General features: G+C 39.9%; 1 protein-coding gene across 3 annotated transcripts in view; it reads left to right on the plus strand.

Annotated features, from left to right (window-relative positions):
- Positions 1 to 11029, plus strand: part of ZNF540 (zinc finger protein 540) — a 62806-nt gene extending 51777 nt beyond the window's left edge. For all 3 annotated transcript variants that reach the window (NM_152606.5, NM_001172225.3, NM_001172226.3), the window contains one exon: positions 8363 to 11029. In NM_152606.5, the coding sequence (NP_689819.1) occupies positions 8363 to 10113 (1751 nt within the window). In that variant the 3' untranslated portion in view covers positions 10114 to 11029. The remainder of the gene's footprint in view (positions 1 to 8362) is intronic.
- The last annotated feature ends 15105 nt before the right edge of the window (positions 11030 to 26134 follow it).

Consider the following 26134-nt stretch of genomic DNA (forward strand, 5'->3'; position numbering starts at 1 on the left):
GCGCCTGCCACCACGCCTGGCTAATTTTTGTATTTTAGTAGAAACGGGGTCTCACTATGTTGGCCATGCTGGTCTTGAACTCCTGACCTCAGATGATCCACCCATCTTGGCCTCCCAAAGTGCTGGGCGTGAGCCACCATGCCTGGCCAGGAGTCTATTTCAAGATGTGAGATTTTAAGATGAAAATGATTCTATAGAAAGGGGAAAAATTGTAGTAGAGGGAAGGATAATTATGGAAATTGGAGGACAAGGAGGTAGGATCCAGTGCACAAGAAAAATTTAGAGAACTATAGATACGACAATGGATATAGGTGGGTTGATTGATGTGGTATTATGTATTTCTTTTCAATGCTTCATTTTTATTAGAGGAATAAGGGAGATCATCAGCTAAGAATTGGCAGGAGGGAAAGGAGAGTTATGTTTGAGGTGAAAGATGTAAATATATTTTGAATACTGGTGTTCAGTTTACTTGCATCTCAATAGCTCGTTCACTTTTTATTTTCTGTTAATCAGGAGTTAATAATAATAACAGTTAACATTGATTATTTACTGTATACCAGATTTAGTCATTTCACAATGTATATATTCTTCAAAATATGTTGTACAGAGTAAATACATAAAATTTATCTGTCAATGTAAAAAATAATGCATTTTTAAAACTATGAAGAAAAGGCTATTAAGTTCTATATAGTATGTTGATTCCTCTATATCAAGCCAAATTCTGATTTGTATTTTATTTGCAGATTTTTTTTAGTTGAAATTCTTGGGCTGTATATAATCAGATCATTTGCAAATCATGATAGTTTTTCATTCTTTCTTAAAAATGTTTGCCTCTAAAGTTCTTAATTCTGCTTAGTTGTTTTGCTTATCATAATTTTATAAAAAGGATAAGATAACTTTTCTTTTTGCTCTTTTCTCGAGTAGCTAAACTAACTTTAAAATTATCTGTTCTTTAAAACTTTGATAGACGTCTATGAAATTGTTTGCAAGGATAGGTGTTTCACAATGGAATTTCATTTGCTTAGGCTTTTTATTTCTTCTGTGGTCAATACAGGAAATTAATAGTTTCCTTAAAATTTTTTATTCTGGAATATACAGGATTATTTTGTTTAGAGCATTACATAGAGCTTTGGAAAATAGCCTTACTTTTTTTTTTTTTTTTTTTTTTTTTTTTTAAGGCGGAGTCTCGCTCTGTCGCCCAGGCTGGAGTGCAGTGGTGCGATCTCGGCTCACTACAAGCTCCGCCTCCCGGGTTCACGCCATTCTCCTGCCTTAGCCTCTGGAGTACCTGGGACTACAGGTGCCCACCACCACGCCTGGCTAAGTTTTTGTATTTTTAGCAGAGATGGGGTTTCACCGTGTTAGCCAGGATGGTCTCGATCTCCTGACCTTGTGATCCGCCCGCCTCGGCCTCCCAAAGTGCTGGGATTACAGGCATGAGCCACCGCGCCTGGCCAGCCTTACTATTTTTTTTCAAATCAGCTTTATTGAGATATGATTTATATAGAATAAAATTCATTAATTGTATCTGTTTAATTATTTTGGACAAACACGTGAGTCTTGTAATCATCACCACTTCAGTCAAGATGTAGAACATGTCTATCATGTCAAAACTTTCCATTATGTTTCTTTACAGTCAGTACCCTTCCCCCACTTTCAGCTCAGCCCGTGACAGGCAACTAAGTTGCCTTCTTTCCCTAATTTTGTCTTTTCTACAATTTCATATCAAATAAATCAGAATATGCAGTATTCTGTGTCATACTACTTCTACTTCTGATATTTATGCGATTCATCCAAGTAGTTAGAAGTCTCAGTAGTTAATTCCTTTTTCTTGCTGAATAGTATTTCATATCTGCTTATTAGTTAACAGTTTATGAACATCTAAGTTGTTTCTAGTCTTTCGCAGGCATGAATAAAGCTATTATGAGTGCTTGTTTACAAGTCTTTGTTTTAATGTATGCTTTGTTACCTCGGGTTAAACACCTGAGGGTGGGATTCATGGATTATATAAGTATATATAAGAAACTGGGCTGGGCGCAGTAGTTCATGCCTGTAATCCCGGCACTTTGGGAGGCTAAGGCAGGCGGATCGCTTGAGCCCAGGGGTTCAAGACCAACCTGGGCAACATGGCAAACCCTGTCTCTACTAAAAATACAAAAATTAGCTAGGCATGGTGGTACACACCTGTAAAAACTTTATTTAAAAAAAAAGAAACTGGGCTGGGTGCGGTGGCTCATGCCTGTAATCCCAGCACTTTGGGAGGCCGAGGTGGGTGGATCACGAGGTCAGGAGTTCGAGACCAGCCTGACCAACATGGTGAAACCCCGTCTCTACTAAAAATACAAAAATTAGCCGGGTGTGGTGGCGTGTGCCTGTAATCCCAGCTACCCGGGAAGCTGAGGCAGGAGAATGGCTTGAAACTGGAAGGCGGAGGTTGCAGTGAGCCAAGATCACGCCACTGCACTCCAGCCTGGGCAACAAGAGTGAAACTCTTGTCGCAAAAAAAAGAAAGAAACTGTCCAAAGTGGCTATATTGTTTGGCATTCCCACTAGATGTCCAATAGCTCCACATTGTTGCCAACCTGTTGTATTGTCAGTCATTTTAATCTTAGTCATTTTAGTGGATGTGTAGGTGTATCTCATTGTGATTTTAATTTGCATTTAACTAATGACTAGTGATGAGCATATTTTCATTTATTTGTCATTCCTTTTTCTCCTTTGGTAAAAAGTGTCTGTTCAGAAATTTTATCCATCAAAATTTTTAGCAATTTTATTGAGGTATAATTTACATAACATAAAATTTACTCACTGTAAGTGCACACTTGGTGACTTTTAGTCAATTTATAGTTAGGCAGGAATCATGACAATCCAGTTTTAGAATACTTCCATCACCCCCAAAACTTCCCTTGTGCCCCTTTGCAGTTAATCCCTTCTTCAATCTACAGCTTTAGGCAGCTACTGACCTACCTTCCATTTTTGTTGATTTTCCTTTTCTGAACATTTCATATAAATGGGATCATGCAATGTACAGTCTTTTGACTCTGGCTTCTTTAACTTAGCATAATGTTCTGGAGGTCCATTTATGAAGCAGCATGTATCAGTGATATATTCTCTTTTATTGCTGAATATGTTCTGTTGTAGGGATATACCTTATTTTACTTATCTATTTACCAGCGATGGACATTTGTATTGTTTACAGTTTGGGGCTGTTATCAATAATGCTACTATAAACATGAGTATACATATCATTGTGTGGACATATGTCTTAATTCATCTTAGTTGGATTCATAGGCATGGAACTGCTGGGTTATATGACGAATATAACTTTCACTTTATAAGAAACTGCCAAAATGTGTTCCAAACTACCTATATCGGTGTACCTTCCCAATAACAATGCATGAGGGTTTCTGTTTCTCTGTCTTCTCTCCAACACATGCTATTACCTGTCTTTTTGAGAACAGCCATTCCAGTGTGTGTGTAGTGGTATCTAATTGTGGTTGATGTTGAGCAATTGCTTATTAGCTATTGGTACATCTTTGGTGGAAAGACTGTTCAGTGTTTTGCCCATTCTTAAAATTAGGTTGTTTGTGTTATTATTGAGTTGCAAGAGTTTTAAAAATATATTCTGAATATAAGCATTTTATTTACATATATGATCTGCAAATACTTTCTCCCAGATTGCGGTACATGGCATGTCTTTTCATTTTCTTAATCTTATTTTTTGCAGTACAAATATTTTTCATTTTGATGAAGCCAAATGTATCTTTTTTTTCTTTTATGAATTGTGCTTTTGTATTGAAGAACTCTTTTTCTCATACAAGGACACAAAAATTCCCATTGATATTATCCATTTTATCTTCTTGATTTGTAAGAGTTCTTTATATATCTTATAATCAACTTCTTTATCAGATATATATATTTTGCAATATTTTATTAGTTTAGATACTAGATATATATTTTGCAATATTTTACTAGTTTCTGGAGTAACTTTCTATTAATTAACAAACTTTATTTTTAAAATCAGTTTTAGGTTTACAGGAAAATTTAGCAGAAAGTACAGGTTTCCTGTATACTCTCTGTCCCCAAACATACACACCCTCCCCAACTACCAACAATCCACATTACAGTGGTACATTTGTTACAGTTGATAAACCTACATTGACACATCATTACCACCCAAAGTCCACAGTCTGCATTAAGGTTCACTCTTGGTGTTGTAAATTCTATTAACTTTGAAAAATATATAATGATATGTATCCACAATTGCAGTATCATACAGAGTAGTTTCACTGCTCTAAAATTTCTCTGTGTTTGGCCTAGTCATCCCTCTCTCCACCCTAACCTTTAGAAACCACTGAGCATTTTACTGTCTCCATCGTTTTGCCTTTTTCAGACTATCATGTAGTTGGAATCATATAGTATGTAGCCTTTTCAGATTGGTCTCTTTCACTTAGTAATATGCATTTAAGTTTCCTCAACATCTTTTTGTGATGGCTTATTCTTTTAGCACTGAATAATAGTCCATTCTCTGGATGTACCACAGCTTAATCATTCACCTACTAAAAGACATCTTGGTTTTTTTTAAGTATTGGAAGTTTTGAATAAAGCTGCTATATGCATTTGTGTGCAGGTTTTTGTATGAACATAAGCTTTCATTTTATTTGGGTAAACACCAAAGAAATGATTGCTGAGTAGTACGATAAGAATAGGTTTAGTTTTGTAGGAAACTGACAAAATGTTCTCCAAAGTGGCTATAATATTTTTGCATTCCCCCAGCAATGAATGAGAGTTCCTGTTGCTCCACATCCTTGTCAGCCTTTGGTGTTGCCAGTGTTTTCGATTTTGGCCATTCTAACAGGTGTGAAGTGGTATCTCGTTGTTTTTAATTTGCAGTTCTCTGACATTCCTGATCTCTGGTTTGGTGTCTGACATTAATTTGGAGAAATTCTCATTCATTGTTGCTTCATATATTGCTTCTTTTCCTTTCTCTCATTTTCCTCCTTCTGGTATTTTCATCATGTGTATTTACACCTTTTATGCTTACCCCCAGAGTTCTTGGATATCTGTTCTGTTTCCTTCAGTATTTTTTCTCTTTCTTTTCAGTGTTGGAAGTTTCTCTTGTCACATCTTCAAGTGCAGAGACTCTCAGCTGTGTCCATTTACTAGTGAGCACATCAGAGCCATTCTTCATTTCTATTACAGTGTTTTTGATCTTTAGCATTTCTTTTTGATTCTTTCTTAGAATATTCATCTCTCTGTTTTCATTATCCATCTGGATGTTGTCTATTTTTTCTATTAAAGCCCTTAACACATTTCTTATAGTCTTTTAAAATTCCTGGTCTGATAATTCCAACATTCCTGCCATATCTGACTCTCATTCTGATGCTTGTTTAGTCTCATCAAAGTGTTTCTCGCCTTTTAGTTTTCCTTCTAATTTTTTGTTGGAAGGTGAACATGATGTACTGGGTAATGGGAAACATAGTAAATAGGCCTTTAGGAGTGCAGTGATAAGGTTTCCGCAGTCCCAGAATTAGGTCTCAGTCTTTCGGTGCACCTGTGCCACCTGATGGACCTTAACCAGTGCTTCCAGTTTTTTCCCCATCGCTAGGTGTGACAGGATAGCTTAGAGGGCTGAGTTGGGTATTTTCATTCCTCTATATCATTAGGCTCTAATAAAACCCCAGCAGGTTATGATCTATCTACTTGAGAAAATACCCTAACCTCAGGTGATCCACCCACCTTGGCCTCCCAAAGTGCTGGGATTACAAGCGTGAGCCACTGCGCCCGGCCAGTATTTAGATTTTTTTAGGCTCTTTTCTTATTTAGATTGCCACCCTCCAGCTTTCATTTAACTTATCTGTGTTAATAAGATTCCTTGACACTTCTAGTCTCCCAGCCATCTCTTCATACTATTCAGTTACTCTGTTCTCCCTAAAATTGTTGAGTTTCTTTGTTCATTTTTTCCAGAAACCATTCAACATGGCACATACCTGTTACAATATCTATACAAATCATTTAAATACTTCTCTATCAAGTATAGGAATGGTTGGTTTTAGATGTAAGAGAACAGAAGAGATATCATCTGAGAAAGCTTATAAAGAAAGTACAGTGGGCCGGGCACGGTGGCTAACGCCTGTAATCTCAGCACTTTGGGAGGCCGAGGTGGGCGGATCACAAGGTCAGGGGTTTGAGACCAGCCTGGCCAATATAGTGAAACCCCGTCTCTACTAAAAATACCAAAAAATTAGTCAGGCGTGGTGGTGGGTGCCTGTTATCCCAGCTACTTGGGAGACTGAGGCAAGGAGAATCACTTGAACCTGGGAGGCAGCGGTTGCAGTGAGCCAAGATGGTGCCACTGTACTCCAGCCTGGGCGACAGTGCAAGACTCTGTCTTGGGGGGCAAAAAAAGTAGAGTGGCCGGGCGCAGTGGCTCATGCCTGGAATCCCAGCTCTTTGGGAGGCCGAGACAAGTGGATCACCTGAGGTCAGGAGTTTGAGACCAGCCTGGCCAACATAGTAAAACCCTGTCTCTACTAAAAATACAAAAATTAGCTGGGTTTGGTGGCATGCACCTGTAATCCCAGCTACTCAGGAGGCTGAGGCAGGAGAATCGCTTGAACCTGGGAGGCAGAGGTTGCAGTGAGCCGAGATTGTGCCACTGCACTCCATCCTGGGTGACAGAGTGAGACTCCATCTCAAAAAATAAAGAAAGAAAGAAAAAAAAAGAAAAGAAAAAAACAGTAGAGTGAGCATCCAGTAGGTGGCTGAATAATAGTAAAACTCAGCTGTGTAAACATACATCTCTTTGCACAGGAGGCAGTGAACAACAGGATTGGAAACATCTCTGTTTAACTGGATAGCCATTTAAAGGATGAGTAGGCAAAACAAGGGCTTTTTCATTTTATACATTTGGTTGAACTACCTTGGATTTACTTTTGTTCTGATCTGTAAAGGAAGTAAGGTAGGAAAGAGTGCATTTAATCACTGTAATAAGGTGAGAGAGATTAGAGCTCCTTTGTAATTGTTACAAAAATATAAAAATTAAGTGATTGTCCTGATATTCAGCTGTCCTATACATGACTTATCTGTCATTCATCATCATAATTTCCTTTAAGACAATGATTAATTTATTGTACAGTCAGTTGTTTAATGCCTGCTGTATGCTAGTGGGTAGTTATTCACTGTTGAATGAAATAAGGATTACATCTTCCTTTGGGAAGGTTTAGGGATCAGAAAATCAACAAAAGAGCAAAAAGAAAAATCAGTGGATATGCGTTTGAAAATTGTGAAATGAAGAAATGAAACATGATGCTGGAATTGAGAATAAAGGACATAGACTGCCTTACAGTCGGTAGGGCAAGCCTTTCTGTGTAAGAGATATTTAACCAACCATTAAGAATGAGAAGGAGTTGGCCTTTCACAGAGCCCTGGACAGATTATTTTTAGGAGATGAAAAATCCCATAGAAAACTATATGAAATGGGAAATGTTATGACACAATCGAGGAGCTGAATAGAAGCAAGTCATAATAAGAGGGAGTAAGGAGGACAATGTCTTTGAAAGAGGTCTTTAGGTAACCAAAGACCATATTATATTATATGGTAACATGTTTGGATTTTATTCTAAGAGTAAAGAAAAACTGTTAAAATTGTTAAGTGGAGATTCTCAAACTTTGATCTATATCAGAATCATCTAGTGGAGTTATTAAAAATTCAGATACCAAATTACTCCTGTAGATTTGGTTCACTTGACTTGTGTGTAACTAAATAGCAGTATTTGTGATAAAGTTCCCCAGATGATTCTCATACACAATAAAATTTTAGAACCACTGACGTAAATAAACTATTTGCCATATCACCACAATCTTATATAATCTTTTTTTTTTTTTTGAGACAGAGTTTAGCTCTTGTAGCCCAGGCTGGAGTGCAATGGCGCAATCTCAGCTCACTGCAACCTCCGCCTCCCAGGTTCAAGTGATTCTCCTGCCTCAGACTCCTGAGTAGCTAGGATTACAGGCGCCTGCCATGATGCTCGGCCAATTTTGTATTTTTTTTTTTAGGAGAAATGGGGTTTCACCATGTTGGTCAGGCTGGTCTTGAACTCCTGACCTCAGATGATCCACCTGCCTTGGCCTTCCAAAGTGCTGAGATTACAGGCATGAGCCACCGCGCCCGGCTATAATCTCTCATTTTCTAAGCTCATGTTGCCTAATTTCAAATTATATAACTTTATTGAAATATTCTTTAAGCCACTGACTTCTAGTAAGAACCGTTTTCACTTTGTTTCCTATTTTGAAAATGTAAACTTTATGTTATGCTGGCTACAGGAAAATAATTTTTGTTTGCTTTTATGTTTTCTTTCAGGTTTGTTATCCAGGCATAAGACCAAGAAATTATCTTCAGAAAAGGACATTCATGAAATCAGTTTATCCAAAGAGAGTATAATAGAAAAAAGTAAAACTCTTCGTCTGAAAGGATCCATTTTTAGAAATGAGTGGCAGAACAAAAGTGAGTTTGAGGGTCAACAGGGACTTAAAGAAAGATCTATCAGTCAAAAGAAAATCGTCTCTAAAAAAATGTCAACTGATAGAAAACGTCCCTCTTTTACTCTGAATCAGAGAATTCACAATAGTGAGAAAAGCTGTGACTCACACTTGGTTCAACATGGGAAAATAGATTCTGATGTGAAACATGATTGTAAAGAATGTGGGAGTACTTTTAATAATGTCTATCAGCTTACTCTCCATCAGAAAATTCATACTGGTGAAAAATCCTGTAAATGTGAGAAATGTGGGAAAGTTTTTAGTCATAGCTATCAACTTACTCTGCATCAGAGATTTCATACTGGTGAGAAACCCTATGAATGTCAAGAATGTGGGAAGACCTTTACTCTTTACCCACAACTTAATCGACATCAGAAAATTCACACTGGTAAAAAACCCTATATGTGTAAGAAATGTGATAAGGGTTTTTTTAGTAGATTAGAACTTACTCAACATAAAAGAATTCATACTGGTAAGAAATCTTATGAATGTAAAGAATGTGGAAAAGTTTTTCAACTTATTTTCTACTTTAAAGAACATGAGAGAATTCATACAGGTAAGAAACCCTATGAATGTAAGGAGTGTGGGAAAGCTTTTAGTGTATGCGGACAACTTACCCGTCATCAGAAAATTCATACTGGTGTAAAACCCTACGAATGTAAGGAATGTGGAAAGACCTTTAGACTTAGTTTTTACCTTACTGAACACAGAAGAACTCATGCAGGTAAGAAACCTTATGAATGTAAGGAGTGTGGGAAATCATTTAATGTGCGTGGACAGCTTAATCGGCATAAAACAATCCATACTGGTATAAAACCTTTTGCATGTAAGGTGTGTGAGAAGGCTTTTAGTTATAGTGGTGACCTCAGAGTACATTCTAGAATTCATACTGGAGAGAAACCATATGAATGTAAGGAATGCGGGAAAGCCTTTATGCTTCGTTCAGTCCTTACTGAACATCAGAGACTTCATACTGGTGTGAAGCCCTACGAATGTAAGGAATGTGGGAAGACCTTTCGAGTTCGTTCTCAAATTAGTCTACATAAGAAAATTCATACTGATGTGAAGCCCTACAAATGTGTACGATGTGGGAAGACCTTTAGATTTGGTTTCTACCTTACTGAACACCAGAGAATTCACACTGGTGAAAAGCCCTATAAATGTAAAGAATGTGGAAAGGCCTTTATTCGTAGAGGGAATCTTAAAGAACATCTGAAAATTCATTCTGGTTTAAAACCCTATGACTGTAAAGAATGTGGGAAGTCCTTTAGTCGGCGTGGGCAGTTCACTGAACATCAGAAAATTCATACGGGTGTAAAACCATACAAATGTAAAGAATGTGGGAAGGCCTTTAGTCGTAGTGTAGACCTTAGAATACATCAAAGAATTCATACTGGTGAGAAACCCTATGAGTGTAAACAATGTGGGAAGGCCTTTAGACTTAATTCACACCTTACTGAACATCAGAGAATTCACACTGGTGAGAAACCCTATGAGTGTAAGGTATGTAGAAAGGCCTTTAGACAATATTCACATCTTTATCAACATCAGAAAACTCATAATGTAATTTAATATAAGAAAAGGTTTCCATGTCATGCTCTATTTATAGAATATCAAAATATTTATGGCCAGAAGTTCTGTCAATGTGTTGATGTTTTTTTACACATATTAACTTAATAAATGTATGAGTCTTAAATACCTCTTAGTTCTCATTAAATTTAGGAAAATTCACACTAGAAAATAAAGCTGTTAATGTAACAGTTGTGGAAAAGTGTTCTAGCAACAGCATATACTTATCATCATTGCCTTTCCACTACTCTACTATCTGTGTGATATTAGACAAAATATTTGCTTCTTGGTACCTCAGCTGTAAAATGAAACACACCTAAAAGTGTGGTTGTTTCCAACATGTATAATACAGCAACAACTATCTGGCCCAAACTGCTTTGGATTAATATTGGATATTACTGTTTTTATTATCATCAACATTATTATTAGTGGATTTCTTAATAGGAAGATGCAATGGAGATGACAAATTTGGAAAAACCACTCATCACTTACATTTCATGAAGTACTTCTTTGATAAAATCTGTTATGGGCTGAATGTTTGTGTTCCCGTAACAATTCCTATGTTGAAACACGAATCCCAAGGTGATGGTATTTGAAGGTAGGGCCTTTAGGAGGAAATTAGGTCATGAGGGTGGAGCCTTCATGAGTGGAATTACTGCCTTTATAAGAAGAAGCCAAAGAGCCAGCTAGCTCTTTCAACCACATGAGGTTACAGCAAGAAGTCAGCAGTCTACAGTGCAAAAGAGGGCCTTCACCAGAACCCAAGCATGCTGGCACCTTGACCTTGGACTTTCAGCCTCCAAAACTGTGAGAAATAAACCTCAGTTGTTTATAAGCCACTGAGTCTACGATATTTTGTTATGCAGCCCAGATAACTAAGGCACTCCATTAGAATATAAATAAAATGTAAAGATCTAAATTCAGACCTCATTGCTTAAGTTCTAAAATTAAAGATGAAGAGAAACCCTAAGGATGTAGTGAGTGGGAGGACCTTAGAATGTAGCTGTTGAAGCATCAAAGAGAGGTGTGAGGGAATTTACCCATAATAATACAGAAATTAAATGGATAGAAAAAAGAAAGATCTGGCCATGGTGGCTCACGCCTGTAATCCCAGCACTTTAGGAGGCTGAGATGGGTGGATCATCTGAGGTCAGGAGTTTGAGACCAGCCTGGCCAACATGGAGAAACCCCGTCTCTACTAAAAATACAAAAATTAGCTGGGTGTGGTGGCAGGCACCTGTAGTCTCAGCTACTCGGGAGGCTGAGGCAAGAGCTGAGGCAAGAGAATCGCGTGAATCCAGGAGGTGGAGGTTGCAGTGAGCTGAGATTGCACCATTGCACTCCAGCATGGGAGACAAGAGCAAGACTTTGTCTCAAAAAAAGAAAAAAGCTGTCTATTTAGAAAGTTTTTACTAATTTTATTATGAAAATGCTCTGAGACACAGAAACATAGAATGCATTCTATAATGAACACCCATTTTTACCTTCCACCTAGATTTGAAAATGTATATTTTGCTTTTTCTATAAAATACATTTTTTTGCGATACCATTTGAGAGTTAAGTTATAAACATCATATCATTTTGCCCCTAAATCAGTTTGTATCTCCTAAAAGTAATGGTAATACATATACCCAAAGTACTAAAATCACACCCTAAAAATTAACAATTCCATAGAATCTTATAATATCCATTCCATGTTGAAATTTCCATAATTGTTCCAAGAATATATTTCATAGATATTTAACAAGGATTTACTCTCCAGATCATACATTGTAACATTTTGGTGGTTCTGTCACTTTTTTTTTTTGAGACGGACTCTCGCTATGTCGCCCAGGCTGGAGTGCAGTGGCGTGATCTCGGCTTACTGCAACCTCCGCCTCCTGGGTTCAAGCAATTCTCCTGCCTCAGCCTCCCGAGTAGCTGGGATTACAGGCGCCTGCCACCACGCCCGGCTAATTTTTGTATTTTTAGTAGAGATGGGGTTTCACCATGTTGGCCAGGATGGTCTCGATCTCTTGACCTTGTGATCCACCCACCTTGGCCTCCCAAAGTGCTGGGATTACTGGGGTGAGCCACTGCACCCGGCCTGCTCTGTCACTTTTAAACTGAACAGCCCCTCATCTTTATGTCATTTTATTGGCTTTTAGAAGAGTCCATCACAGTTGTCGTAGAATATCCTGGATTCTGGGTTTGTCGTATTTTATTTCTGCATAATGTTGTTCCTCTTTTTCCTCTGTCTCCAAACTGAAACTTAAACAGCAGCTTGATTTGCTTCTGGTCAAACATTTTTAGCAAGAATACTTCATAGGTATAATACAGTCTGTACACACAGGAGGCATATAATGGCAGGTTGTCCTTTTATTAGTGATGCTACATTTGGTTAAGGTAGTGACTGCCAGATCTCTCCATTGTAAAGGTATGTTATTTTCTTTGCAATTAGTAAGTAATTTGGTGATAATTTGCACCTCCTCTTACAAATTTACAATCATCTACATGTATAATACAAGTCATGGATTAAACTGGAAATCAAAAGTTAAATATTGATTTAACAGAAAGCAGTGATATTGAAATGCCTACATATTGAAATCTGTAGGATGTGGCCAAGACTCTACTCAGTGGTAAATTAACATCCCTTAATGCATACAGAAAACCACGATTTGGGGATAGAACATTTTGTTCTCTGTATCCTCAACACGACTGTGACGCCTTTTGCATAGTAGGCACTTGATAAAACTCGGGAAAAAATAAGTATTTAACTCAAGAAACAAAAAAAGGTACCAAATAAAGCAGATGCTAAAAGAAGGAACTAGTTAATGCAATTAAAATTAGAAATTAAGTAATAAGCAGATTATAGACTTATTCAATTTTTCCAAATCCAGTAAAAAGAAAAAAACGATGACACAGTTATAAGTGTCACGAATTTAAAAAGGACATTACCAGAGATATCGATGTCATCCCAGCTACTCGGGAGGCTGAGGCAGGAGAATTGCTTGAACCCAGGAGGCGGAGGTTGCAGTGAGCCGAGATCACGCCACTGCACTCCAGCCTGGGCGACATAGCGAGAGTCCGTCTCAAAAAAAAAAGTGACAGAACCACCAAAATGTTACAATGTATGATCCTGAGAGTAAATCCTTGTTAAATATCTATGAAATATATTCCTGGAACAATTATGGAAATTTCAACATGGAATGGATATTATAAGATTCTATGGAATTGTTAATTTTTAGGGTGTGATTTTAGTACTTTGGGTATATGTATTACCATTACTTTTAGGATGTCAAATTATAAGAAAGTAGTATCATTTCAATGTATATAAAATTCCAGAGCTAATGAAGTCTTTTCTAGAAAATGTACTTCATTGAAATTTACACAACATAATCATGCTTGAGTGAACTAGTAAATGGAAAACGTAAATTCAGCTTAAGCTATAGAACAAGCTAGAACAACACAGTCTGCTAGCACAATCTGTTTTAGTTTAATAAAAACTTCAAGGATAATTGTTACCAGAATTTTCCCAGCTCATGATACATGGCTGACATAATCCAAATGATAAAACTAGAGAGAATAGTTACTAAAAACCAAAATTTAAATGAGTCCTAATTAAAGAGAAAAATCAAAATGCTAAATAAAATGTCAGCAAAATGATACAATTTTTCAGTAAATATATCTGAAATGTGCAGGCACTGGAATATTCTGGTTCTATACATATGCAGCTTAAATTATGGAAAAAGAATTGCTACAGTCCTATTATCATCTAGATTCATTATCATATATATATATATACACATATATATATATTAGCCTTACTATCACTGATACCTCCTGATTTCATCAATGCTAAAAAGCCCCACCCAAATCTCATCTCAAATTATAATTCCCACATGTTGGGGGAGGGACCCTGTGGGAGGTGACTGGATCATGGGGGTGGTTCCACCATGCTGTTCTCATGATAGTATGTTCTCATGAGATCTGATGGTTTAAAAGTGTTTGGCAGTTCTCCACCCCCCTCTCTCTCTCCTACCACCATGTAAGACATGCCTTGCTTCCCCTTCACCATGTGCTATGACTATAAGTTTCCTGAGGCCTCCCCAGCAATGTGGAACTGTGAGTCAATTAAACCTCTTTCCTTTATAATTACTCAATCTCAAGTAGCTCTTTATAGCAGTGTGAAAATGGACTAATACAATGTCTTGTGAAAACGTTCATTGATATTTTTAGTAAGATAAGCCTTGTGCCAGTATCAAAGCATTTTATATTTGATGGGATATGGTGTATGTATATATACACATGCACATACACAAACCAGACACAAAGACTTATTTGAATTTAATGTTCACAAGAATTTCCTGAAAACAACTGTCAGGGCAAAGGCATTTTAATAATGTTTTCATTTAATTTTTTTTTTTTTTTTGAGACAGCATTTTGCTCTTTCACCCAGGCCAGAGTGCAGTGGTGCGATCTTGGCTCACTGCAACCTCTGCCTTCTGGTTTCAAGCGATTCTCCTGCCTCATCTTCCTGAGTAGCTGGGATTACAGGTGCCTGCCACCACACCCGGCTAATTTTTGTATTTTTAGTAGAGACGGGGTTTCACCATGTTGGCCAGGCTGGTCTCGAACTCCTGAACTCGTGATCTACCCGCCTTGGCCTCCCAAAGTGCTGGGATTACAAGTGTGAGCCACTGCAGCCAGCCCTAAATTTTTATAAATGGTATTGGGACTATTATATACACATGCATATACACACACACATATAAACAGCTCCCGAAAATATAAACAACTTTTGGTGAATTAGGAACAATGGAGAATACCTGAAATAGAGGAAGCACTGGTATTAGATCATCTAAGGGAACCAGAAAACAAAACACAAGAGTGTGCACTACTTTGAAAGGTGAATGTGACATAATAAGGGTGGCCTGGGCCTAGGGTTTGTCACAAGAAGCAAAAGTGGGGACAGTGAGATTGTCCTCACAACCAATAGTGAGATTGGTTGCTTGGGGAAGTAAAGTGATTTAACCTGGCACATCACCTTCCCTTAACCCAGTTAGCAAGCCCTAGTCCCTGCTTCCAGGAGGAGGAGGTGAGGCCACTGACTGGTATTGTCCTAGGGGAAATAGGAGCATCCCTATGCCTGGGGCTAGCAGGCCAGGCATGCTGCAGCACAAAAAACCTGCCACTCCTCTGTCTCTAAAAACAAGTCAGAGTGCACATCAGAGCAGCACATCCTATTCCTGCACTGAAGCAGACTACATCCAAAGTACTCTCCACTGTGAAACTAAACACATATCAGAATTACCAAACATTTCCAAAAAAGCTGACTCCCATATAATAGAGAAACAATGCTGATCCAATGGGAAATACTATAAAGGCAGTAGTAGAATAAATGAAACGGGAGTTTTGTTTAAGTACGAATATTAAGAGTAAGTAGGAATAGCATCCTCAAAATGATATGATGGGAAATAGCAAATCTCTATAACAAAATCAACTAGAGATTACAAAAATTACTTAAATGTCCTTGTGGAAATAAAATCTTTAATAGAGGGACTTCCATTTCTGGGAAAATGGAAGAGATGTCCTTTTCCCTGTTCCTCCCACTAAGTACAACTGAAAACTCTGAACGTTATATATAAAACAAACACAAGATGACTCTGAAAGGTGGAGAGAAGAGAGCAGACTGGCTAGGGACCACAGGACCCAAGAAATGACATAGTCGTGAAGTTCCATGGACTTTATTTATATCCCAGACTTGGAGCTAAAGAAGCTGGCAACCCTAAAATGCCAATATTCAGAGATGGAAAAAAAAATTCTAAAGAAAAGCCTACTCTGTATAGCTAAAGAAACAGGAAAGGGAGTCTAGCAAGACAGGACACTATTATTTTATTTTATTTTATTTATTTTTTGAGATGAGTCTCCCTCTGTTGCCCAGGCTGGAGTGCAGTCATGTAATCTTGGCTCACTGCAACCTCTGTCTCCTGAACTCAAGCAATTCTCCTGCCTCAGCCTACCGAATAGCTGGGATTACAGGCGTGCACCACCATGCCCGGCTAATTTTTGTATTTTTAGCAGAGATGAGGTTTTGCCATGTTGGCCAGGCTGGTCTTCAACTCCTGGCCTCCATTGATCTGCCCACCTTGGCCTCCCAAAGTGCTGAAATTACAGGAATGAGCCACCACGTCCAGCCAAGACAGGAAACTTTTAAATAACCCCTTACTTCAGCCAAATGCCACAGAAAAATCTGTGGCCCCACCACCACTCTTAACACCAAAGGCCAAGTGGAGAGTCTAGACTTTTACCTTTATAGGCTGTAACAAGGTGTCCAAACTTCCTGACCAAGTAGTCTCAGAAAAAGCCCAGTGTGAAACCAGGGTCTTTCATTTTCATCAGGCAATAATGAGCCCCTCCTGTATGGTGTCAATGCCAACTAAATGGAGAACGTGGACTTTCATACCTAATGAAAATATTGTTCAGGAAAGAAGGAGAAATCAAGAACATTCTCAGGTGAAACAAAGCTAGGAGAATTTGTTGCCAGCAGACCTACCATAAAGGAAAGGCTAGCTGGGCGTGGGTTGGCTCATGCCTGTAATCCTAGCACTTTGGCAGGCTGAGGCAGGCCAATCACTTGTGGTCAGGGGTTCGAGACCAGCCTGGCCAACATGGCGAAATCCCCGTCTCTACTAAAAATACAAAAATTAGCTGGGCATGGTGGTACACACCTGTAGTCTCAGCTACTCAGGAGGCGGAGGCAGGAGAATCGCTTGAACCCCAGAGGCAGAGGTTGCACTGAGCCGAGATCGTGCCACTGCACTCCAGCCTGGGTGATAGACAGAGACTCTGTATTAAAAAAAAAAAAAAAGAAGAAGAAGAAGAAGAAAAAGAAAAAAGAAAGGCTAAAGAAAATCTGAGAACAGAAATTAAATATTAAACAAGGAATCTTGGAAAATTAGGAAGGTAGAAGAAACACAGCAAAATTACGGGTAATTTCCTTATCTTGAGTTTCCTCAATTATGTTTGACAACTGAAGCAAAAATTGTATCACTCTTAGGTGGTTTCCAATGTATATAAAAGAAATATTTAACTTGATTATAATTTGGGATGGGTAAGGGAAGGGAAGGTTTCTACACCTAATTCAAACTGGAAAAATGTCAAACCAGTAGACTTTGTAAGTTATGTATATATAACGTAATGCCTAGCAAAAGTGTGCAATCTTTTGGCATCCCTGGGCCACATTGGAAGAACTGTCTTGGGCCACACATAAAATACACTAACAATAACGATAGCTGATGAGCTAAAAAAAAAAAAATCATAAAACAATCTCATAATGTTTTAAGAAAGTTCACAAATTTGTCTTGGGCCGCATTCAAAGCCTTGCTGGGCTGCATGAGGCCCACAGGCCGCAAGTCAGATAAACTTGGCTACAGCTACTGCTAAAAAAATTGATACAAGTGATCCACCCAAAAACACTATAAATAAGAAAATGGCAGAGGAGGAAACCAACAACTCATCCCTTCACAAAAGCAATGAATAAACAAATAAAAACTTACAGAATCAACTCTTGAAAAATTTAGAAACCAGAGTAATCTACTTTTTTTTTTGTTTGTTTTTTGAGACAGAGTCTTGCTCTGTTTCCCAGGCTGGAGTGCGGTGGTGCAATCTTGGCTCACTGAAACCTCCACCTCCCGGGTTCAAGTGATTCTCCTGCCTCAGCCTCCCGAGTAGCTGGGACTCCAGGCCTGTGCCACCACACCCAGCCCAGTCAGGGTTTCACCATGTTGGCCAGGCTGGTCTCGAACTTGTGACCTCAGGTGATCCACCTGCCTCGGCTTCCCAAAGTGCTGGGATTACAGGCATGAGCCACCACACCCAGCCCAGATTAATCTTTTTTTTTTTTTTTTTTTTTTTTTTTTTTTTTTTTTCTGAGACAGAGCAAGACTCTGTCTCCCAGGCTGGAGTGTACTCACTGCAACCTCTGCCTCCCGGATTCAAGCGATTCTCCCGCCTCAGCCTCCTGAGTAGCTGGGATTACTGGAACCCGTCACCAAGCCTGGCTAATTTTTGTATTTTTTGTAGAGACAGGGTTTCGCTACGTTGGCCAGGCTGGTCTCAAACTCCTGACCTCAGGTGATCCTCCAGCCTTGGCCTCCCAAAGTGCTGGGATTCCAGGCGTGAGCCACCACGCCCAGCCAGAGTAATCTATTTTTGAAGGGCTTCAAGGTGGCTGACTAGATCCATCTAGTACTAGCCTCTTCCACAGAAAGGAACCAAATTAGCATATAGATAATCACACTTTGAATAGATCATCTGAGGGAGAACACTGGAATGCCACAGAGAAGTGATGGGAAAAGTTGAAAGAAGGAGAGGCAGCCTGCTTGGCCAGGAGAGTCTGGGAGCCTGGAGAGGCTCCCTAATGCAGGGAAACGGTTAAGTGAGAGACCCCCAGTGGTCCACATTCCCATCAATGGCTAATCTTCGCCAAGGGAGACCCCCTCTACCCTCATGAGCCCTGAGACTAACACAGGTAGCTGCCTGAAGACTGCACAAGGGCATTGCTCCAGAGAGGGAGTGCATTTTGGGTCCCACAAACCCTTGAGTCCTAAGCAGCTGCTGCATGGCACCATTTTGATAGCCCAATCCCCACCAGAATGCATCCTGCCCTGGGGCCCAACAGGCCCTGCATCTCCACATCCCTGGAACCCCATCACATTTGCCACCCATAGCTATCCCAGCAGGGATGAGGCAGGAGCCACTGGCAGTGACCCCACTTCCCACAAGCAGAGTGGTGGCTGCACATTTTCAGGAGCACTAAGGACAAATCCACTGCCTGCATTGGCCACCACTGTAGGCTTCTGCAGGACCAAGAGGTGAGCAAAACACATTTCCCCCAGCTCCCTATGGCTGCTACCATTTGAAAGCAACTGTGATGTCCCCAATAGCATGGTTGTAGCACAGCTGCTACTCCCCCTGCCCCTCCGTGCTTTCCATTGGTGGCCTGGGGATAACCCCATCCCTGCCTACCACAGTCAGCACCTGCAAGCACCACCAGATGGCTCAAGGACAGTCCCTGGCCTGAGAGTGCCATCCAGGGGTCTGGGGATCGCCCAGCCCAGTCCACAACCGTTGGCACCTGAGCACTCCTCCCAGGGTCTGAGGTCAGGCCTACACAACCTGCCACTACCACCACAGCTGGCAGCCACCTGCACACACCACCTGCAGACCTGGGGACTTGTCTGCCCAGCCCATTGTAGCCACTGCCAACACCAGCATGGACTGCATAGGTTCCAGAAGGTTGTCCCACCACTGCTACTGGCATAGGCCACACAATTCAGCTGCACAGGGGGTTAGGGACCCACCTAACCACCCAGCCCATTGCTGCCACTCCTGGCACTCAAGCAAGCCACCTGAAGGCCCAAGAATTGGCCACAGTGGCTCATGCCTGTAATCCCAACACTTTGGAAGACCAAGGTTGTTGTGGGAAGTCAGGGACCCCAAACGGAGGGACCGGCTGAAGCCATGGCAGAAGAACGTGGATTGTGAAGATTTCATGGACATTTATTAGTTCCCCAAATTAATACTTTTATAATTTCTTATGCCTGTCTTTACTGCAGTCTCTAAACATAAATTGTAAAGATTTCATGGACACTTATCACTTCCCCAGTCAATACCCTTGTGATTTCCTATGCCTGTCTTTACTTTAATCTCTTAATCCTGTCAGCTGAGGAGGATGTATATCGCCTCAGAACCCTGTAATAATTGCATTAACTGCACAAATTGTACAGCATGTGTGTTTGAGCAATATGAAATGTGGGCACCTTGAAAAAACAATAGGATAACAGCAATTGTTCAGGGAATAAGAGGGATAACCTTAAACTGTGACCACCAGTGAGCCGGGCAAAACAGAGCCATATTTCTCTTCTTTCAAAAGCAAATGGGAGAAATATCGCTGAATTATTTTTCTCAGCATGGAACATCCCTGAGAAAGAGAATGCACACCTGGGGGTGGGTCTCTGACCTGGCCCCCCGGGCGTGGTCATCTCTTATGGTTGAGACTGCAGAGGTGAAATAGACTCCAGTCTCCCATAGTGCTCCCAGGCTTATAAGGAAGAGGAAATTCCCACCTAATAATTTCTGGTCAGACCAGCTGATCTCAAAACCCTGTCTCCTGATAAGATGTTATCAATGACAGTGGTGCCTGAAACTTCATTAGCAATTTTAATTTCACCTCGGTCCTGTGGTCCTGTGATCTTGCCCTGCCTCCACTTGCCTTGTGATATTCTATTACCTTGTAAAGTACTTGATGTCTGTGACCCACACCTGTTCGCACACTCCCTCCCCTTTTGAAACTCCCTAATAAAAACTTGCTGGGTTTTGTGGCTTGTGGGGCATCATGGAACCTACCGACATGTGATGTCTCCCCCGGATGCCCAGCTTTAAAATTTCTCTCTTTTGTACTTTGTCCCTTTATTTCTCAAGCTGGCTGATACTTAAGGAAAATAGAAAAGAACCTACGTGAATATCGGGGCAGGTTCCCTGATAGAGGTGAGAGGAGCACTTGAGCCCGGGAGTTCAAGACCAGCATAGGCAACATGGCAAGACCCCATCTGTACAAAAATAATTTTTAATTAGCTGGGTGTGATGGCTCACGCCTGTAGTGATGGCTATTCAGGAGGCTGAGGTGAGAGGACTATTTGAGCCTGGGAGGTTGAGGCTGCAGTGAGCCATGATTGCACCACTATACCCCAGCTTGAGTCAGAGTGAGATCTTGTCTGAATAAAAAAAGAACCAATCTGCCTGGACCCCTCTAACACCAGTGCCAGCATATGCTACCGTGGGACCAAAAGACAGGCATGCTCAGCCCACTGCTGCCAACAATGGGGCCTGGAGACTGGTCCATGTGGCTGGCAACCCAGTCCCAAGTAAAACTTCACCACAGCCTACACTGACAACAGCACCCTGAGCCACTGAGGAAATCACAGAAACCACTGACACCGTTTGCAGTTGAAGCAATCATACAGAGACTACACTACTTCATGCACCTAGAATCAAAGACAAGGTGCCTATCCAACCAACACCACAGATACATCTTCAAGAAAAATTCCTCCCCTATGAAAGCAAATTCAAAACATTGGAAGAAGCAACTATTACACCAGATGTGAAGATCTCAATGTAAGAACACAAGAAACATGAAAAAGCAAGGAAATATGACATAACCAAAGGAACACATTAATTCTCCAGCAAAGATCCCAATCAAAAAGAAATTTATAAAATCTGAAAAAATAATTCAAAATATTTATCTTACTTTTATTTATTTATTTTGAGATAGGGTCTCATTCTGTCACCCAGGCTGGAATGCAGTGGTGTGATCATGGCTCAGTGCAGCTTCGACCTCCCAGCCTTGAGTGATCCTCCCACCCCAGCCTCAAGCGGTCCTCCCACCTCAGCCTCCAGAAGGGCTGCGACTATAGGCACACATCACCATATTCCACTTTTTTTTTTTTTTTTTAATTAGAGATGAGGTTCTCCTTATGTTCCCCAGGCTGGTCTTGAATTCCTGGGCTCAAGTGATTCTCTCCCGTCAGCCTCCCAAAGTGCTGAGATTACCGGTGTGAGCCACTCTACCCAACCAAAAATACTGATTTTAAAGAAGCTCAGTGAGACACAAGATAATAATGAAAAACAAAACAAAGGAATCAGAAAAAAACCAATTCAGGATATTAATGAGACATTTTCAAACAGATATCATTTAAAAAAACAAATTCTGGAGCTGAAGAATTCACTGAATAAAATATAAAATACATTCAAAAGCTTCAACAATACACTACATCAAGCAGAAGAAAGAATCTCAGAACTTGAAGACAAGTCTTTTGAAATAACCCTGTCAGACAAAAAAAAAAAAAAAAAAAGAATTTTTGAAAATGAAGAAAACCTACATGACATATTGGGACACCAATATAGGAGAACAAATATTAGAATTTTAGATGTTCCAGGAGGTGAAGAGAAAACAAAAGGGCTGGAAAACCTATTTAATGAAATAATAGATGAAAACATCCCAAGTCTAGCAAGAGAGATTTGAACTTGCAGATTCAGGAGGCTCAGAGATCTCCAAATAGACCCAATTTTAAAAGATCTTGGCCAAGGACAGCAGCTCACACCTGTACTCCCAGCACTTTGAAAGGCCAAGACGGGAGTTGTTCAAGACCAGCCTGGGCAACATAGCAAGACTCCATCTCTACAAAAAATAAAATAATTAGCTGGATGTGGTGGCACATGTGTGTAGTCCTGGCTATGCAGCAGGCTGAGACGGAAGGACTGCTTGAGCTACCATTAGAGCTCAAGGCTGCAGTGAGCTAGGATCATGCCACTGAATTCCAGCCTGCGCCACAGACTGAGGCCCTGTCTCTAAAAAAAAAAAAAAATTAAAAATTAAAATAAATTAATTTCAAATATAATGATATTGATAAGTTAAAAGAGAATAGGAAAAAAGATACACCATGTAAATACTAACCAAAAGAAAGCTGAGTGGCATTACTAATATCAGAAAATGCCAGTTTCAGAGAAAATCAGAGCAGAGATTATGAAATTATACAAAATTATTTAAAAAAGACCTGGTGCAGTGGCTCACGCCTGTAATCCTAGCACTTTGGGAGACTGAGGTGGGCGGATCACTTGAGGTCAGGAGTTTGAGACCAGCCTGGCCAACATGGCAAAACCTTGTCTCTACTAAAAATACAAAAATTAGCCAGGCGTGGTAGCATACGCCCATAATCCCAGCTACTCGGGAGGCTGAGGCAGGAGATTGCTTGAACACAGGGTGCAGAGGTTGCAGTGAGCCCTCAAAAAAAATAACGAAAATTATAAAAAGATCAGTTCACCAAGAAAACATAATAATCCTAAATGCTATGCCTCATATATCAGAGTTTCAAAATACATAAACAAAAAGCTATCAGAACTCATTATAGTTGAGAACTTTTATACATCTCTCTCAGCAATTGGGAGCGTTCTCAAAGTTATAAAGGGCCTGAGTTGGGGGAAAAACACATCTATAGTGCAGTCATGAAAATGTAGCCTCAGGGAAAAGATGAAGCCAATGTTTATTCTTTCTGTGAAACAGCAGGGCCTCTAAGAATCTGTCATTTTTGGGCCAGGCATGGTGGCTCACGCCTGTAATCCCAGCACTTTGGGAGGCTGAGGCGGGCGGATCACGAGGTCAGGAGATCGAGACCATCCTGGCCAACATGGTGAAACCCCGTCTCTATTAAAAATACAAAAAAATTAGCTGGGCGTGGTGGCGGGCACCTGTAGTCCCAGCTACTCAGGAGGCTGAGACAGGAGAATGGTGTGAACCTGGGAGGCGGAGCTTGCAGTGAGCCGAGATTGCACCACTGCACTCCAGCCTGGGCAACAGAGAGAGACTCTGTCTCAAAAAAAAAAAAAAAAAAGTATCTGTCATTTTTCCACAGTGGCCTCTTAGGGAGCACAATAAAGAGAAGAGCCTGTGGTGTGTCTTTTGTTTCATTTAATGAACCCTAATAAAATTCACAGTATACACAGAATTTTCAAGAGAATTGTACTACTTGATGCACTACAAGCTTGAGCTTACAGGGGCAGAAACGGTACAAAGTGAGAAAGGATCTTTGGGTTCCCAAATATCTACAAGAAAAAAGTATGAGAATAGTACTCAGTTGTAAACATGGGCTACTTTTTATGAAGAAAAAAAAGAAAACCCCAGCGTGACTCAGAAAGTGCAACCAAAAGATCAGATGGCAGGACAAGAGCCATAGAAAATCATTTCCAGGGAACGCTGATCAAGGAGCTGGTTATGTGTGCCCAGCCAGATTTCAGAATTGTTACGATTAGCAATTTCCTTCAACTGTTTTACCCACCAACTTTCTGAATCTGAATGCTTATTATTCTATGGCTGTTCCACCACTGGATGTGGGTGTGTCAAGAAACTGTAGATTGAAGTTAGTTCCCAATATTGTGGACTGAGAGGGCTCATACTCAAGGAGTGTATCCCAGGAACTGCACTGAAGGAGGCTTATCCACACCTGGACTTGATTTTTTTTCTTTCCAAATTTAATTTTAGGTGCAGGGGGTACATGTGCAGGTGTGTTACATGGGTAAATTGTGTGTTGTAGGGGTTTGGTGCAGATTATTCATCACCCAGGTAATAAGGGTACTACCCAAGAGGTAGTTTTTTGATTCTCATCCTCCCACCCTCTGTCTTCAAGTAGTCCCTGGTATCTATTGTTCCCTGCCTTGTGTCCATGTGTACTCTGTGTTTAGCTCCCACTTATAAGTGAGAACATGCTGGTTTTGGTTTTCTGTTCCTGTGTTAACTTGCTTAGAATAATGGCCTCCAGCTCCATCCTTGTTGCTGCAAAGGATATGATTTTGTTCTTTTTTATAGCTGTGTAGTATTCCATGGTGTATGTATGTATGTATGTATGTATGTATGTGTGTGTGTGTATATATATATATGGTGTATGTGTATATATATATGGTGTATGTGTGTGTATATATATATACACACACACACACACACACATTTTCTTTATCTAGCTGGGTTTGATTTAGATAAGGTCCTAGACTTCAAATTGATACTGTAATAGGATGAGACTTTGGAAGCCTGAGGGAAGTGCATGAGTGTATTTTCATGGGGCAGGATGTGAATGGTGGCCAGGAGGCAAAATGTGGCAGACTGTATTTTTCAAAGATGGATACAATAATATTTCCCATCCCACATGGTCTTCTACAGTATGTTCTTAGCACTTTTCCATCAAGAGGTAAACTCAAATTCCCCTTCCTTTGAATTTGGGCTGGATTTAAGTCTCACTAGTAACCATTAAAATGCAGAAGTGATGCTGTAATACTTCCAAAGCTAGGTCAGAAAAGGCCAGCTTCCACCTGGTTCTCTTAGAATGTTCACTCTTGGGATGTTCATCTTGGAATAAACATTCTGTGAAAAATCTGTGACCATGTAGGTGTTCCTGCTGCCAGTTCTAGCTAAGATTGGTATTCAAGTCCTCCAAGTCCAAAATTCAAGCATGAGAGAGAAGAAGCCTGGAAGTGGATATTCTAGCCCTACCTGGACTAGTCATTCAAATAACCCCAGCTGAGACTCCAGACATCATGAAGCAAAGAAAAAACATCCCTGCTGTATTCTCTCTGGATTTTTGACCCACAGAACCTATGAGCATAACATGCTTGTCTTATGGCACGAAGTTTTGGGTGGCTTGTTACGCAGCAATCATCAGAGCACTTAAACCCTTCTCAAAAAGAACCACTGGAAAGTTATACCAAAGAGTAATAAAATGGTTTTTTTTAAGAGGGAATTGATGGAACAGATTGTATGGAACACAAACTGATGCAAAATTTCTCTGAACACATTTTATGTTTTTAACTTTAAAATCATGAAAATGTTATAGTCTTTAAAAGTAAAATTGAATCAGAAATAAAAATGGCAGTCCTTGAACACTGAAAATAAATAGAAACGAATGAATCTAGCTGGAAATCAGGTTGGTTAGAACTAAGCATTTTCCCTCTACATTCGTAGTGAATGATATTTGAAGGACGGAGAGTGATGCCAAGAAATCTTCAACTTCATTCAGCATTCATGTTTGGTAGTAATGCTCGTATTCTGTTGTAAGTATTTTATACTGTTTATAGATCACAGCACATACATTAGTTCATTGTTAAAATCCAACAAGATGTTCAGGGGAAAAGCAAAAGACGCGAGAATAAAATTAAAGTTAAAAATAATGTGGTATTAAATTTGAATTGGAAGTATCAATATAAACTCAGTTTTTATTCTCCTAAGTTAAAAAAACTTTTAATTGAACTATAATAAACGTAAAGTATACAAATGTACAACTCAATGAATTTTCACAAACTGAATACATCAGAGTAATCAGCACGCAAATCAAGCAACAAAACATTACTAGCATCTACAGAAACCTCCCATTGCTCTTACCATCACTATCCCTCCTGCCATGTACCCCTACCCCCCTCACCCCCACCAGTATCTTTTTTT

This window comes from Homo sapiens, chromosome 19 (genome assembly GCF_000001405.40).
Source record: "Homo sapiens chromosome 19, GRCh38.p14 Primary Assembly".
NCBI lineage: Eukaryota > Metazoa > Chordata > Mammalia > Primates > Hominidae > Homo > Homo sapiens.